Here is a 14,045-nt window from a genome sequence, read left to right as displayed (position 1 = left end):
TCCCACCCAACAAGGGCTCGCCTCCTGGCGCTCCCCTCTGCCGCGGTCACTCACCATGTGGAGGGTAATGGGGTGGGGTGGGAGGGGCAAAGTCCAGCTTGTCCTTCAGGTCCTCCTCATTCTCCTTCTGCCACTGCAGGCCAACGTCCTCCCAGAGGCTGGCAGCCAGCTGCCTGAGGCACAACAGACAGACAACAGTGGCTCAGGGCAGGGCACGCAGGGGAGGCCGCAGGGCTGCGCCAGGACACGGGTCACCCAAAGACCCCATTGCGTGAGAGCGGGAAGCTCCCCAACCCCAGAAAAGGTGGACCAGAAATTCCACTTCATCTTGTGAGCACTCTACTGACAGTACACAAAGGGGGCCGTCTGATCTCTGTCGATATACTCAGTCCAATGTTAAAAAGATGGGAAATGCCATTTACAAAACGAGACGACTTCTGTACGGCACATCCCTTCGGAGCACAGGGACAAAGGGACACCAGCAGGTTTCTGTGAGAGACTGGGAGCAAAGAGAAACCACCACTGCTACACATGACCGTTTAGGAAGACAAGGCCCGCGGCCGCCTGCCCACGTACCTGACCTCAGGCACCTCGTCGTTGAGGCTACTGAGCAGCAGAGGGATGAGCTTGTGGAAGAAGGAGTAACGGTCACGCAGACACAGCAGCCAGCCGCCCACCACGGAGGCCACCGCCCGCCGGACCTGCGCATGAGAGGAAGGGATAAGGATTCGTGTAGGCAAAGGGGATGCCGGGGCTGACGCCACGGTGCGGCTCTGAGTGCTGCCATACGGACGCTGCCTGAGGCAGAGGCACGGCCAGGTCCTGGGCCACCTACCACCGCCTAGATGCCATCCCCAAGACAGAGGCGCGTGGCCGGGGTCCTGGGCGCCACCAAGCCTGGGTCCCGGCCAGCTCCGCCAGTCCCTCCTGGCTGGGCCGGAGAGGAATGCTGCTGTCCTGCAGGCTCACACACACATACCCCGTGCCCCGGCCTGGTCCTGTTGGCGAGAGCAGGCTCCCAGCTGCTACCTGAGCCGTGCAGCGTGTTCAAAGTCTTCTGCATGAAAACCTCCTGGCCGGGCTGGGCCTGTCTCACCCTGGGTGCTTGGTGAGCCGTGGCTACAGCAAGTGTGGTGCACCGTGGCCATACCTCAAAGGCGTCTGGTCCCAGAGCCCAGGGACTCTGGAGGAAACCAGTAGGGTCCCCAGTTCTGCTGCTGGGTGTCTGAAGAGGGGGCACGAGGGCCTCTGCCTACCTTGCCTATGCAGGCGGAAGAAACCAGCTTCACACACACCAGGTGCTCTAGCCAAGCTCCCAAAGGGCAATGCCTGAGACGGGGACCAGCACCAACACTCCTTAAGGGAAGCGGGAACGGCCAGGAAGAAGCCAGGTGAGGAAGCGGTGGGGCTGAAGCCAGCCGCAGACTGATCCTGGGAGCTCTGGGGTGTGAACGAGCTACAGAGCTGTCCCCTGTGAGGCCAGGGGCCGACTCCGTGGTGCCATCAGTCCCTGGCTGGGCCGTGGGGAGCAGGAGCCTCATCCCTCCTGACACTTTGGATGAAGCGTCTCTGCCCAGCCATGCACCATTAGCAATAGCGCTCACAGCCAGTCGTAGGTGCAGGGGACCCGAGCAGCAGCTGTGCCCATGGCGTGGTCACTCGCTGGGACTCGGAGGAGGGGCTGCTCCGCCCCGGCTCCAACAAGGCCCAGAGCCAAGCAGACGCACCTAGGATCCGCCCCTGCCGGCCTGGGACCCGGGCCCTGGCCTGACTGCTCCGAAGTTCATTGCCACCTGGAAGATGGGAAAGAATGACTGACAGGGCTCGTCACTAAGGTCCCGTGAGGGGAGGGCAAGTTCACACAAGGAGAGGCCCGTTGCGCCTGACTCCCGCTGCCCGTGCGGTGCGCACAGGCGACTCTCGGCGTGCGAGCAGCAGGGAAGCACGCGAGGGGACACAGGAATGTGTGGCGCGTTTGCCGGGGTCATTAACTGACACAGGGCCTTACTAGCAACCACAAATACAAATGCCCAGATAACAACTAAGAGAAACCCAAATCAGCTCCACGGCCATTCCACCACCTGGCTAGAGAGTCCCCACAGAACAAACTGTCACTGTCGTCTTCACCCATGGCGCCGGCAGGTCTCGAGCAGAGACAGCCCAGGGTTTAATGCAGTCGACACCTGCCACGGCCGCACCTGCCACGACGCTAATCCAGGTGAGCGGCAAACTCCAAGCTCACCCAGTGCCATGTGCTGAGATGCTGCAAAGCCTGTCAGGCAGAGGGCGTGGCTGAGACAAGCCAGACTGCAGCCAGCCCCCAGCCCAAACAGGTATACAGTGATGGGGCAGAGGGCGTGGCTGAGACAAGCCAGACTGCAGCCAGCCCCCAGCCCAAACAGGTATACAGTGATGGGGCAGAGGGCGTGGCTGAGACAAGCCAGACTGCAGCCAGCCCCCAGCCCAAACAGGTGTACAGTGATGGGGCCCTCTCCGGGAGATGGGCAGGCGTCCAGGGCCACAAGGCCTGAGCACACTCTGCCCCAGGCCGGCAGCCAGGGAGCAGTCTGAACTCGCTGGGTTTGGCCTCGCTGCTTTCTCCTCCCTGACCTCCTGCACTGTGTGCCAGGGTCTCTGCGGGGCCCCACCCAGGACGGCCACCTGTCTGTCGGAACCCACAGATAGGCTTCTTTTGCAGAAAGGAGCTTCAAACATCTCACCTGATAGCAAGGACAGCTAGGGCCGGGATTTGGGGCTGCTCCTGAGTCTCACGGACTGCCACCTTTTCTATCAGTCTCTACTTAGTATCATAAGAAACCTGCAAATTCCAATTAGCATGAGACGAATTATCCCTTTTCTTTTAGTTCAAAAACAGCACTGAACACCGAACTGCCATATAAGAGTTTAAAAAAGCAGGACGTTTTTCAATTTTTTTTTCTAAAAAGCAAAATAAATGGATTAGAAGCCTTCCCAAGACAGATGGGTACAAACAAGCCCAGACTGCAAAGATGACAGTAAATACCTAGCAAGATCGACCAACAGCCACAAGCATCAGGAGCATCCAGGAAAACATGACCTCACCAAGTGAACTAAATAAGGCACCGGTGACCAATCCTGGGGTGACAGGGATAGGTGACCTTTCAGACAGAAAACTCAAAATAGCTATTTGAGGAAGCCCAGCAAAATCCAAGATAACATGGAGAAAGAATTCAGAATCCTATCAGAGAAATTAACAGATATTGAAATAATTAAAAAGCATCAAGCAGAAATTCTGGCGTAGAAAAAAGGAATTAGCATACTGAAGAATGCATTGGAGCCTCTCAACAGCAGAACTGACTATGTGGAAGAAAGAATTAGTGAGCAGCTTGAAGACGGGCTATTTGAAAATACACAGAGAAGACAAAAGAAAAAAGAATAGAAAGAATGAAGCACATGTACAGCATCTGGAAAATAGCCTCAAAGGGGCAAATCTAAGAGTTCCTGGCCTTCAAGAGCAGGTAGAGAGAAATCGGGGTAGAAAGTTTACTCAAAGGGATAATATCAAAGAATTTTCCAAACCTAGAAAAAGATACCAGCACTGAAGTACAAGAAGGCTACAGAACACCAACCAGATTTAACCCAATAAAACTACCTCAAGACATTTAACAATCAAACTCCCAAAGATCAAAGATGAAGAAAGGGTTCTAAAAGCAGCAAGAGAAAAAACAACAAATCACGTACAACGCAGCTCCAGTACGCCTGGCAACGACTTCTCAGAGGAGACCTCACTGGGCAGGAGACAGTGGCTTGGCATATTTAAAGTGCTGAAGGAAAGTAAACTTTTACCCTAGTGTATCCAGTGAAAAATCCTTCAAACATGAAGGAGACAGACTTTCCCAGACAAACAAAAGCTGAGGAATTTCATCAACATCAGACCTGTCCTACAGGAAATGTTAAAGAGGGTTCTTCAATCTGAAAAATAAGGATGCTGAGGAGCAATAAGAAATCATCTAAAAGGATAAAACTCAGTGGTAACAGTAAGCACACAGAACAACACAATGTTGTAACACTGTAACTGTGATGTGTAAACTACTCACATCTTGACTAGAAAGACTAAAAGATGAGCCTATGAAAAATAACTAACTGGTTGGGTGCAGTGGCTCACACCTGTAATCCCAGCACTTTGGGAGGCTGAGGTGGGCAGATCACCTGAGCTCAGGAGTTCAAGACAAGCCTGGCCAACATGATGAAACCTTGTCTCTACTAAAAATACAAAAATTAGCTGGGTGTGGTGGTGGGTGCCTGTAGTCCCAGCTACTCGGGAGGCTGAGGCAGGAGAATCGCTTGAACCTGGGAGGCGGAGGTTGCAGTGAGCTGAGATGGCGCCATTGCACTCCAGCCTGGGTGACAGAGTGAGACTCCATCTCAAAAATAAAACAATAAAAATAAATAAATAAATAAAAATAAAAATAACTACAATGACTTTTCAAGACAAAGATATAAGTAAAAACAACAAAAAGTTAAAAAGCTGAGGGCATAAAATTAAGGTGTAGAGTTTTTATTCATTTTTTTCTTGGCTTGCTTGTTTTTGGAATCAGTGTTCAGCTATCAGTTTAAAATAATGGGTTATGTTATTTGCAAGCCTCATGGTAACTTCAAATAAAAAACGCCACAACAGATACACACACACACAAAAAAGAAATTAAAACATACCGCCAGAGAAAATCATCTTCATAAAAAGGAAAACAAGAAGGCAAGAAGGAAGGAAGAGCAGACCACGAAACAACCAGAAAACAACAAAACGGCAGGAGTAAGTCCTTACTTATCAATAACAACATTGAACGTAACCAGACTAAACTCTCCATTCAAAAGACAGAGCGGCTGAATGGGTAAAGAAAAACAGGACCCAGCAATCTGTTGCCTACAAGAAATACACGTCACTAAAAAGGCACACGTAGGCTGAAAATAAAGGGATGCGAAAAAAGATATTCCATACAAATGGAAAGCAAGAAAGAGCAGGAATAGCTACACTTAAGACAAAACAGATTTCAAGACGAAAACTATACTAAGAGACAAAGGTCATCATATAATGATAAAGGGGTCAACTCAGCAAGAGGATATAACAACTTTAAATATATATGCACCCAACACTGGAGTATCCAGATATATAAACCAAATATTACTAGAGCTAAAGAGAGAGACAGACTCCAACACAGTAACAGCTAGAGGCTTCAATGCCCCACTTCCAGTACTGGACAAATCATCCAGAGAGAAAATCAACAAAGAAACATCAGACTTAATCTGTACTATAGATCTAATGGACCTCATAGGTATTTATAGAACATTGCATCCAACAGCTACAGAATACACATTCTTCTCCTCAGCACACAGATCATTTTCAAGGACAGACCATATGTTAGGCCACGAAACAAGCCTTAAAACATGAAACTAGAAATTAATAACAAGAACTTTGGAAACTACACAAATACATGGAAATTAAATAATATGCTCCTGAATGACCGGTGGGTCAATGAAGAAATTAAGAAGGAAATTTTAAAAATTCTTAAATGAAAATGGAAACACAATATGCAAAAACAGCAAAAGCAGCACTAAGAGGCAAGTGTATAGCAATTAGCACCTACATTCAAAGAGCAGATAACTTCAAACAGCAACCTAACACTGCATCGTAAAGAACTAGGAAAGCAAGAGCAAACCAAACCCAAAATTAGTAGAAGACAAGAAATAAGAGCAGAAATAAATGAAATTGAAATTAAAAAAAATACAAAAGACCAACAAAATGAACAGTTAGATTTTTGGACAAGCAAAATCAACACACCTTTAACCAGACTAAGAAAAAGAGAAGACCCAAGTAAATAAAATCAGAGATCGAAGAGGACATTACAAACAACTGATACTACAGAAATTCAAAGCATCATTAGAGACTGTGAGCAACTACACTGTGAGCAATGACATCGTGAGCAGCGACACTGTGAGCAGCTACACCATGAAGAAAACCGTGAGCAACAATATCAGCAACTACAATATGAGCAACGACACCATGAGCAGCTACACCGGGAGCAGCTACACCATGAACAACTACACCGTGAGCAGCGACGTTGTAAGCAGCTACACCATGAAGAACAACACCATGAGCAATATGAGCAACTACAATATGAGCAACGACACCATGAGCAGCTACACCGTGAGCAGCTACACCATGAACTACACCGTGAGCAATGACATCGTGAGCGGCGACACTGTGAGCAGCTACACCATGAAGAACAACACCACGAGCAACGGTATGAGCAACTACAATATAAGCAATGACACCGTGAGCAGCTACACCGTGAGCAGCTACACCATGAGCAGCTACACCATGAACTACACCGTGAGCAATGACATCGTGAGTGGCGACACTGTGAGCAGCTACACCATGAAGAACACCATGAGCAACAGTATGAGCAACTACAATATGAGCAACGACACTGTGAGCAGCTACACCGTGAGCAGCTACACCATGAACTACACCGTGAGCAATGACATCGTGAGCAGCGACACTGTGAGCAGCTATACCATGAAGAACAACACTATGAGCAACAATATGAGCAACTACAATATGAGCAACGACACTGTGAGCAACACCGTGAGCAGCTACACTGTGAGCAACTATACTGTGAGCAACTATATGCCAATAAATTGGAAAACCTAGAAGAAATGGATAAATTCCTAGACACATATGACCTACACAGATTAAATCATAAATCCAAACCTTGAACAGACCAGTAACAAGTAATGATATTGAAGCCGCAATGAAAAGCCACTGAGCAAAGAAAAGCCCGGGTCGCAATATTTCACTGCCAAATGTTATCAAACGTTTAAAGAACTAATGTCACTCCTACTCAAACTATTCCAAGAACTAGAAGAGGAAGGAATACCTCCAAACTTAATTTATGAGGCCAGTACTACCCTGATACCAGAACCAGCCAGATGCAATCGAAAAGGAAAACTACAGGACAATATCCCTGATGAACACTGACGCAAAGTTTCCACTGTTTCAACAGCACATGAGAAAGATCATTTGTCATGACCAAGTGAGATTTATTCCAGGAATGCAAGGATGGCTCAACATACACAAATCCATCAATGTGACACATCATATCGGCAGAATGAAGGACAAGAACTACGTGATTATTTCAAGTGATGCTGAAAAGTATTGATAAAATTCAACATCCCTACATGATAAAAATCTTCAAAAAACTGGGTATAGAAGGAACACACCTCAGTACAATAAAAGCCATATACAAGACTCACAGCTAGTACCACACTGAATGGGGAAAAATTGAAAGCCTTTCTTCTAAATCTGGAGCAAGACAAGGATGCTCGCTTTCACCACTGTTAGTTAACACAGTACTGGAAGCTCTAGCTAGAACAATTAGACAAGAAAAATAAAGGGAATCCAAATTGAAAAGGAAGATAATTATTCTTGTTTGCAGATGATATAATCTTACATTTGGAAAAACCTAAAGATTCCACAAAAAACCTATTAGAACAGATAAACAAATTCAGTAAAGTTGCAGGATACAAAATCACCAAAAAAGCCCCAGTAGCATTTCTACATGCCAACAGTTAACAAATCTGAAAAAGAAATCAAGAAAGTAATTCCATTTACAATAGCTACAAACAAAATAAGATACCTAGGAATTAACTTAACCAAAGAAGTGAAAGATCTCTACAATGAAAACTATAAGGCCAGGCGCAGTGGCTCACACCTGTAATCCCAGCACTTTGGGAGGCTGAGGCAGTCGGATCACGAAGTCAGGAGATTGAGACCATCCTGGCTAACATGGTGAAACTGTCTCTACTAAAAACACAAAAAATTAGCCAGGTGCGGTGGCAGGCACCTGTAGTCCCAGCTACTCGGGAGGCTGAGGAAGGAGAATGGCGTGAACCTGGGAGGCGGAGCTTGCAGTAAGCAGAGATCGCACCACTGCACTCCACCCTGGATGACAGAGCGAGACTGTCTCAAAAAAAAGAAAGAAAACTATAAACCACTGACATGAGAAAACTGAAGAGGACACACACAAAAAATGGTAACATACTCCATGGACTGGAAGAATCAATATTGTCCATACTACCCAAAATGTCCATACTACCCAAAGCAATTTACAGACTCAACGCAATCCCTATCAAAATACCAATGACATTCTTCACAGAAATAGAAAAAATAATCCTAAATTTATATGGAACCTCGAAAGACGTTGAATAGCCAAAGCCATCCTGAGCAAAAAACAAAACAAGACAAAAACAAACAAAAAACTGGAGGGATCACATTACCTGACTTCAATTTATACTACAGAGCTACAGCGACCAGAACAGCTTGGCACTGGCATAAAAACAGACACACAGACCAATGGAACAGAATAGAGAAGCCAGAAATTAAATCCATACATTTACAGTGAACTTATTTTGACAAAGGTGCCAAGGACATATCTTGGGGAGAGGACAGTTTCTTCAATAAATGGTGCTGGGAAAACTGGAACTCCATATGCAGAAAAATGAAACTGGACCCCTATCTCTCACCATGTACAAAAATCAAATCAAAATAGATTAAAGACCTCAATCTAAGACCTCAAACTATGAAACCACTAAAAGAAAACATTGGGGAAACTCTCTGGGACATGGCCTGGGCAAATGGGATCACATCAAGTTAAAAAGCTTCTGCACAGCAAATAAAACAATCAATAGTGAGGAGACAACCCACAGGATGGGAGCAAACAGCTGCACAAATACCCATCTGACAAGGGACTGACAACCAGAATCCATAAGGAGCTCAAACTCAATAGAAAAAAATCTAATAACGCGATTTAAAAATGGACAGATCTGAATAGACATTTCTCAAAAGAAGGCATACAAATGGCAAACAGGTACTTGGCAGGAACGTGACAAACACTCATCTCTGAAAAGCTGTCCATGCATCCCCAGTCTCTCCTGTAACATCTGTTGCTCCCGGAAGGTCTCTCTTGACAAGAACAGGCCTGGTGGCCTCACCAGCAGCACACATCGAGCAGGAAAACTGCAGCAAAGCTGAGCAGCTGCCGACTGCAGGCCTGGCGACAACCAGGGCACCCCTGCAGGGCGAAGTCCATGAGTCACCCACCTGAGGGCGGCACAGGGCAGTTTGTTCAAGGCCTGCTTCACAACTGCACGGCCATACGTCCGTCCTGCCTGCCTCGCCGGGGTTCTGGGTGTGGTCAGTGTCCTGGGCTCGGAGCTGCAGTCATGTGAGCGTGGGGAGATGCATTAGCCCCTGCCGCACTGGGACACCCCCTTTCCACAACTTCAGACACCATCCCGGGGCCTAAGGCTCCAGGGCGGCTAGACCGCCTGTGTCCTGACCTTGCTCTGAGGCTCACCTGGCTGTGCTACCTGAGTGAGCTCTGAGGCCTCTGAGCCTTGTAAGGAGGAGATGAAGTTATTTCCAGGCCCTTCCAGTGAAGTTCAGTGATTTAAGCCGAGTCTAGCAGGCTGCTGGAAGGTTTCCTACGAGTCAGAAGGCAGTCAGGACCTTCTGTGCAGAGAGGATGGGGTCCCAGGGCACCAGTCCCTGGGTTGTTGAGGGGGTGGAGGTGTCTGCAAGGAGCCCACATGGAGCTCCAGGACGGGGTCGCAGGGCTGATCAGAGTAAAAGGGGCAGCACCGTGACTCCACACGAAACTCACGTGAAGGGCCGTGCAGGGTCTCTAATAGGACGCAAACCCCATTGGGAAGAAACGGGCCATGCTGGAAGAATTGTCTTGGGCCACACATAAAATAACACTAACACTAATGATAGCTGACGAGCTAAAAGAAAAAAAAAAATCACAAAAACAATCTCGTAACATTTTAAGAAAGTTTATGAATTGGTGTTGGGCAGCATTCAAAGCCGTCCCGGGCTGCATGTGGCCCACGGGCCGCAGGTTGGACAAGCTTGCTTTAGATCAACAATGTGATGTCAGCTTTCTAACAGACAGCTATTGATACAGAGTAGGCTGCTTATACATAGCTACCAATACAGTTATAGCATTTATAGGCAGCTGTCGACACATAGTTATGGTATTTTTAGAGTTACGGTATAGTTATACTGAGTTACACCGTTTACAGCTAGCAATAGAGTTCCAGTATTTACAGAGCGTGCTCCACAGAGTTCCAGTATTTACAGACAGCTATCGATACAGTGATGGTATTTTTAGACAGTGACGGTATTTTTAGACAGTGATGGTTATTTTTAGACAGTGACAGTAGGCTTACACCGACAGCTATCAGCTATGGAGCTTCAGTATTCACACAGAGCTCTCCATACAGAGTCATCACACTGTTTTGAGGAGTAAGACTTGGCCCATGACACAGACTCCACTTTCCTTGTGGGCCATGCTCTGCCTCAGGCTTAAGGAAGGTGGGAGAGAAAAACCAGCCGGCCGCCTGCACTTCTTGCTGGGCTCTGTTCTTGCCCTGGCCCCTTGAACTGCCCTCCGCAGCCCAAATATTTAGCCAGTGCCAGAAGTGCCTGCTGCAAGTGCCGGGCAGCATGGACACTGACCCCGCACTCTGCCCACTTTCTCCCCACTGGGCAGAGCCTGATGTCCTCAGGGGCCCTCTGTGCTGCCTGGTGCCGAACCCACGCCAGCTCCAGGAGGGGCCGGCCAGCGTACATGGTGACTCAACTTCCGCTGGCCTGATGAGACCAAGGGGGGTGAACAAAGGCTCCTGGTGGGAAAGGGTCCCCCTGTGTCTCTGCGCACAGCCCCTAGGCAGCCACTCTGCTGCTGGAGGGAGAGAGCCGGAGAATGAAGCCTGGCCATGGAGGCAAAGCAGGGGTGTCCTGAGCAGGTGCTATGTCACACCTGGAGCCGGCCCTACGGGTGGACCCCAGCAGCACAGACGAGGGAGCGAGTCAGGGCTTCCATCCTGGCCCCAGAATACCCCGAGTGACTCTTCAACTCACCACCTTCAAGCCATTTCTCATCAGGAAACCTACCTCTTCAAGGCTGAAACCTGGAACCATGCACAGTGAAGAGGCCAGACACAAAAGATCACATGTCTGACTACGATGACAGGTAACTCAGAGACAGAAAGATCAGAGGTCACTCAGCTTCCCCGGTGGCCACAGTGTGTAGCATTTTAGCAAGTCACTGGGGCCTCAGATCCAAGACATGCCCTCCAGGCCAGATTCTGCCAGCAGTAAAGCCAACACTCAGCCCCATCTGTAGGACTCCTGCCTGCCTGCCTGCCCGTCTCTTGGTGGGTTCCAAAGCCCAACGACATAATTATCCCCAACAAACCAACCCCGACTCCACTCTTCTCCCAGTCCAGGTCCACCAACCATGGTGGCTTTTCGGGAAAGTGCGTCTTGATGGATGGGAGCACTAAGGAACCTTCTGCAACTGCTGAAGTGCACACTGTGCCTAAGAGACAATAACTACACAAGTCATCCTTTCTAACATCCTTGGAATTCATAACATCAAACATTAAAACAGTTCAGCTCTCTTCTAGTTTTTCCAAGATGTGAACAGGAACGTCCTGTGACTAGGAATAATGAAAGGACATTTGGTGCATACAGCACTCTGAAAAAAGAACAAGTGAGTTAGTTAAAAACAGCACGTCAGCCCGCCTGTGTTGGAGAGAGGAACAGACTGTCCAGGAGAAACACCAGTTACCTGCGGGACGTCATCAAACAGTCGCTGAGCAAAATGGGAAAGCACGTCGTCCACGGACTTCCCGTTGCCAAAATGGATCACTGCGCCTGTGGCTTCAATGGCGGCCACACGGACCTTCCAGTGCTGGTGGGAGATGGTCTGCATCAGGGGCCCGATCAGAGACTCCGACTGCATGTGGAAGTGGTCTGAGGGACAGGGAGGCCCCCAGTTACCAGAGCTGCTCCCACACGCCTCGCCCAGCTCTGTGGGCTTCCAGAGGACGGCTGCCTGCCTATGAGTTCCTCACCTCCCTTCCTCTCCTACGCCAGGTCCTTGCTGCATGAACAGTACACAATCCAGGCTGCCAAGGAGAGCTCTGTACCGCCCGGCACAGGAAGAGGCTCAGGGACAAGCGTCCCACCCTGATGACACCTGTGCAACCCAGAGGCTTAGGAGGACCAGCGGGGAAAGGCTGGGGGTGCAAACCCATTGTGGCTGAAGACCAGAGAGCCTGGACCTGCTGAAGCCAAGGTGGAGGCCTGACGGGGACACTGGCCAGAGGAAAGAAGCCGAGCCCAGAAGACAGAGGCGAGGCCACACTCCCAGCCCCACCTGAGACGAGACCCCAGGCTCCTCCAGGAAGCTGGGCCAGCACCACTCCAGGCAAAGCCACTGCACTTCCTATTTGTAAAGTCCCCGCAGAAAGTCAGAACAAGAGGTGGCAGGCGCCTGTAATCCCAGCTACTTGGGAGGCTGAGGCAGGAGAATCGCTTGAACTCAGGAGGCGGAGGTTGCAGTGAGCTGAGATCGCCCCACTGCACTCCAGCCTGGGAGACAGAGTGAAACCCTGTCTCAAAAAAAAAAAAAAAAAAAGTCAGAACCAAAGGGTCTCTGGCATCCAGGCCGCCTCTTGCCTCAGCTCTGCACTACTTGGGGCCCGTCTGGGAAACGGCTATTCCAGTGAGACTTTGGGTGAGCGCCTCAACCTCTCTGCCGTTGCCCAGTGTGACCGAGACCAGAGGTGAGGCCCCCCACCCAGGGGAGAGGAAGGCCAGAGGTGCTGGAGATGAGGGGATGCTCCAGGCAGAGGCACAGTCCCTCACCCCACAGCAACCAGTGAGCACATACCCCAGCAGGCTGCGCTTGGGGCTGGGGCACAGATGGGCACAGTGCTGTCCTGTGGAACCTACGGTCCAGGGAGGGAGCTCGTGGGGCTGATGTACAGACTGGGTAGGGAAGTGGTTGAGGATGAAGAAGAAATACATTAAATGCCAGGAATTCTCAATGGCCATGTCCATCCAGCCCAAGGTTCTTCCCCAAGCTCCACAGGAGTTCTGGACCATGTGAAATCCAAAGTTAACCAACGTGGAAATCTCGGCATTTCCCCAAGTCCAGCTCTTCCTCTACTTCTGGAATCTATTCTCCACGCAGCTGCAGTGATCTTTTAACAACCTGAACTCGGGTCTATCACTTCTATTGACACCCCCTGCACTTCCCACTACATTCAGACCATCACTGGGACATCACTGGGACGGCCTGAGCTGGCCAGATCCCTCACTGCTTTCCTGCTCCCTACCGCCCACGGATTTATAGCATCAGTGTTCCCTCCTTCGGAAAGCCTTCCCGCCAGCAGGAAGCAGGCGCCTGCTATCATTCCACATCCCAGCCAGGGGAGGGAAAGGGCAAGACCCTGCAGGAATGGCCAGCTAAGGAAAGGGAACGACCGGATCAGATCAGAGCTCTAAAAAAGATGGGGAACGTTATAAAGTGGAGGGGAGAAGCGGCCTCCTTCCACTTAGGACAGTGGTCCAAGCCAGAGCGGAAAGGCAGGGGAGTAGGATGAATGGGACAGAAAGTGAAATGACCAGAGCAGAGTCTCAAAGCGCGTGCCCTCAACCAGGTGCAAGTCCTGCAAGCCCCCGAGGGAAGGAAAGGGGGCAGCTATCAGGGCACACCCCACCCCAAACCGCCTAACAGGAATTTCTGCGGTGGTTTCCAGGTATCTGGACAGAAGCGCTGGCTCGTGGGCCCGGGTGGGGTGGAGGGGGCTCAGGCAGGGAGGAGGGTGGGAGGTGAGGGTCGCGGGAGGGCGGCGTGCAAGGAGGAGGATGGCACAGGATAGGCAGGTGGAGGGGGCACAGGGAGCAGGCAGGTGGGGGGCGGGGCTTGGGGCGTGGAGGGTGGAGGCGGGGAGCAAGGGGACAGGGGAGTGAGGTGAGTGAGGGCCAAGCAGGAACAGGGGTCACGGGGCAAGGAGCACGTGGCAGCGCAGGAAACAGGTACATGGGGGTAGAGGACAAGGGAGCAGCTGAAGGGCGCGTTGGTGGCGGGACGTGAGGCAGGGGAAGCAGTGGTGGTGGGAGGAGGGGGCCGGGCGGGGTGCTTTGGGGCAGG

General features: G+C 50.1%; 2 protein-coding genes across 6 annotated transcripts in view, besides 2 other annotated features; one reads left to right on the top strand and one right to left on the bottom strand.

Moving 5' to 3' along the window:
• DNAAF5 (dynein axonemal assembly factor 5) overlaps positions 1-14,045 on the bottom strand; it is a 59,777-nt gene that overhangs the window by 44,956 nt on the left and 776 nt on the right. For 2 of the 3 annotated variants that reach the window (NM_017802.4, XM_024446813.2), the window contains exons 2-4: positions 11,673-11,857; positions 577-701; positions 55-173 (exon numbers count right to left, since the gene is read on the bottom strand). In NM_017802.4, the coding sequence (NP_060272.3) occupies positions 55-173; positions 577-701; positions 11,673-11,857 (429 nt within the window). The remainder of the gene's footprint in view (positions 1-54; positions 174-576; positions 702-11,672; positions 11,858-14,045) is intronic. The other variant, NR_075098.2, reaches the window with a different exon arrangement.
• Positions 10,155-10,654: an enhancer, noted in NCBI's record as "H3K4me1 hESC enhancer chr7:770503-771002 (GRCh37/hg19 assembly coordinates)". NCBI's record gives its function as "activates a minimal SCP1, AML or CMV promoter by ChIP-STARR-seq in primed H9 embryonic stem cells {active_cell/tissue: H9 hESC(primed)}" and the evidence as "EXISTENCE:reporter gene assay evidence [ECO:0000049][PMID:30033119]".
• The window catches only part of PRKAR1B (protein kinase cAMP-dependent type I regulatory subunit beta), a 179,738-nt gene continuing 178,278 nt past the window's right edge, over positions 12,586-14,045 (top strand). The window contains exon 1 of one of the 3 annotated variants that reach the window (XM_047420607.1): positions 12,586-13,650. The gene's annotated coding sequence lies outside the window, so the exon portion shown is untranslated. Of the gene's footprint in view, positions 13,651-13,843; positions 13,931-14,045 lie in introns of those variants that run through there. The other 2 variants (NM_001164759.1, NM_001164758.2) reach the window with 2 other exon arrangements.
• Positions 13,959-14,038: a silencer, noted in NCBI's record as "silent region_17819". NCBI's record gives its function as "represses an Ori minimal core promoter by ATAC-STARR-seq in GM12878 lymphoblastoid cells {active_cell/tissue: GM12878}" and the evidence as "EXISTENCE:reporter gene assay evidence [ECO:0000049][PMID:35858748]".

The sequence above is a fragment of the Homo sapiens genome, chromosome 7 (genome assembly GCF_000001405.40).
Source record: "Homo sapiens chromosome 7, GRCh38.p14 Primary Assembly".
NCBI classification, from domain to species: Eukaryota; Metazoa; Chordata; class Mammalia; order Primates; family Hominidae; genus Homo; species Homo sapiens.
The sequence above is the reverse complement of the archived record's forward strand: the minus strand, read 5'-3'. Positions and strand labels throughout refer to the sequence as shown.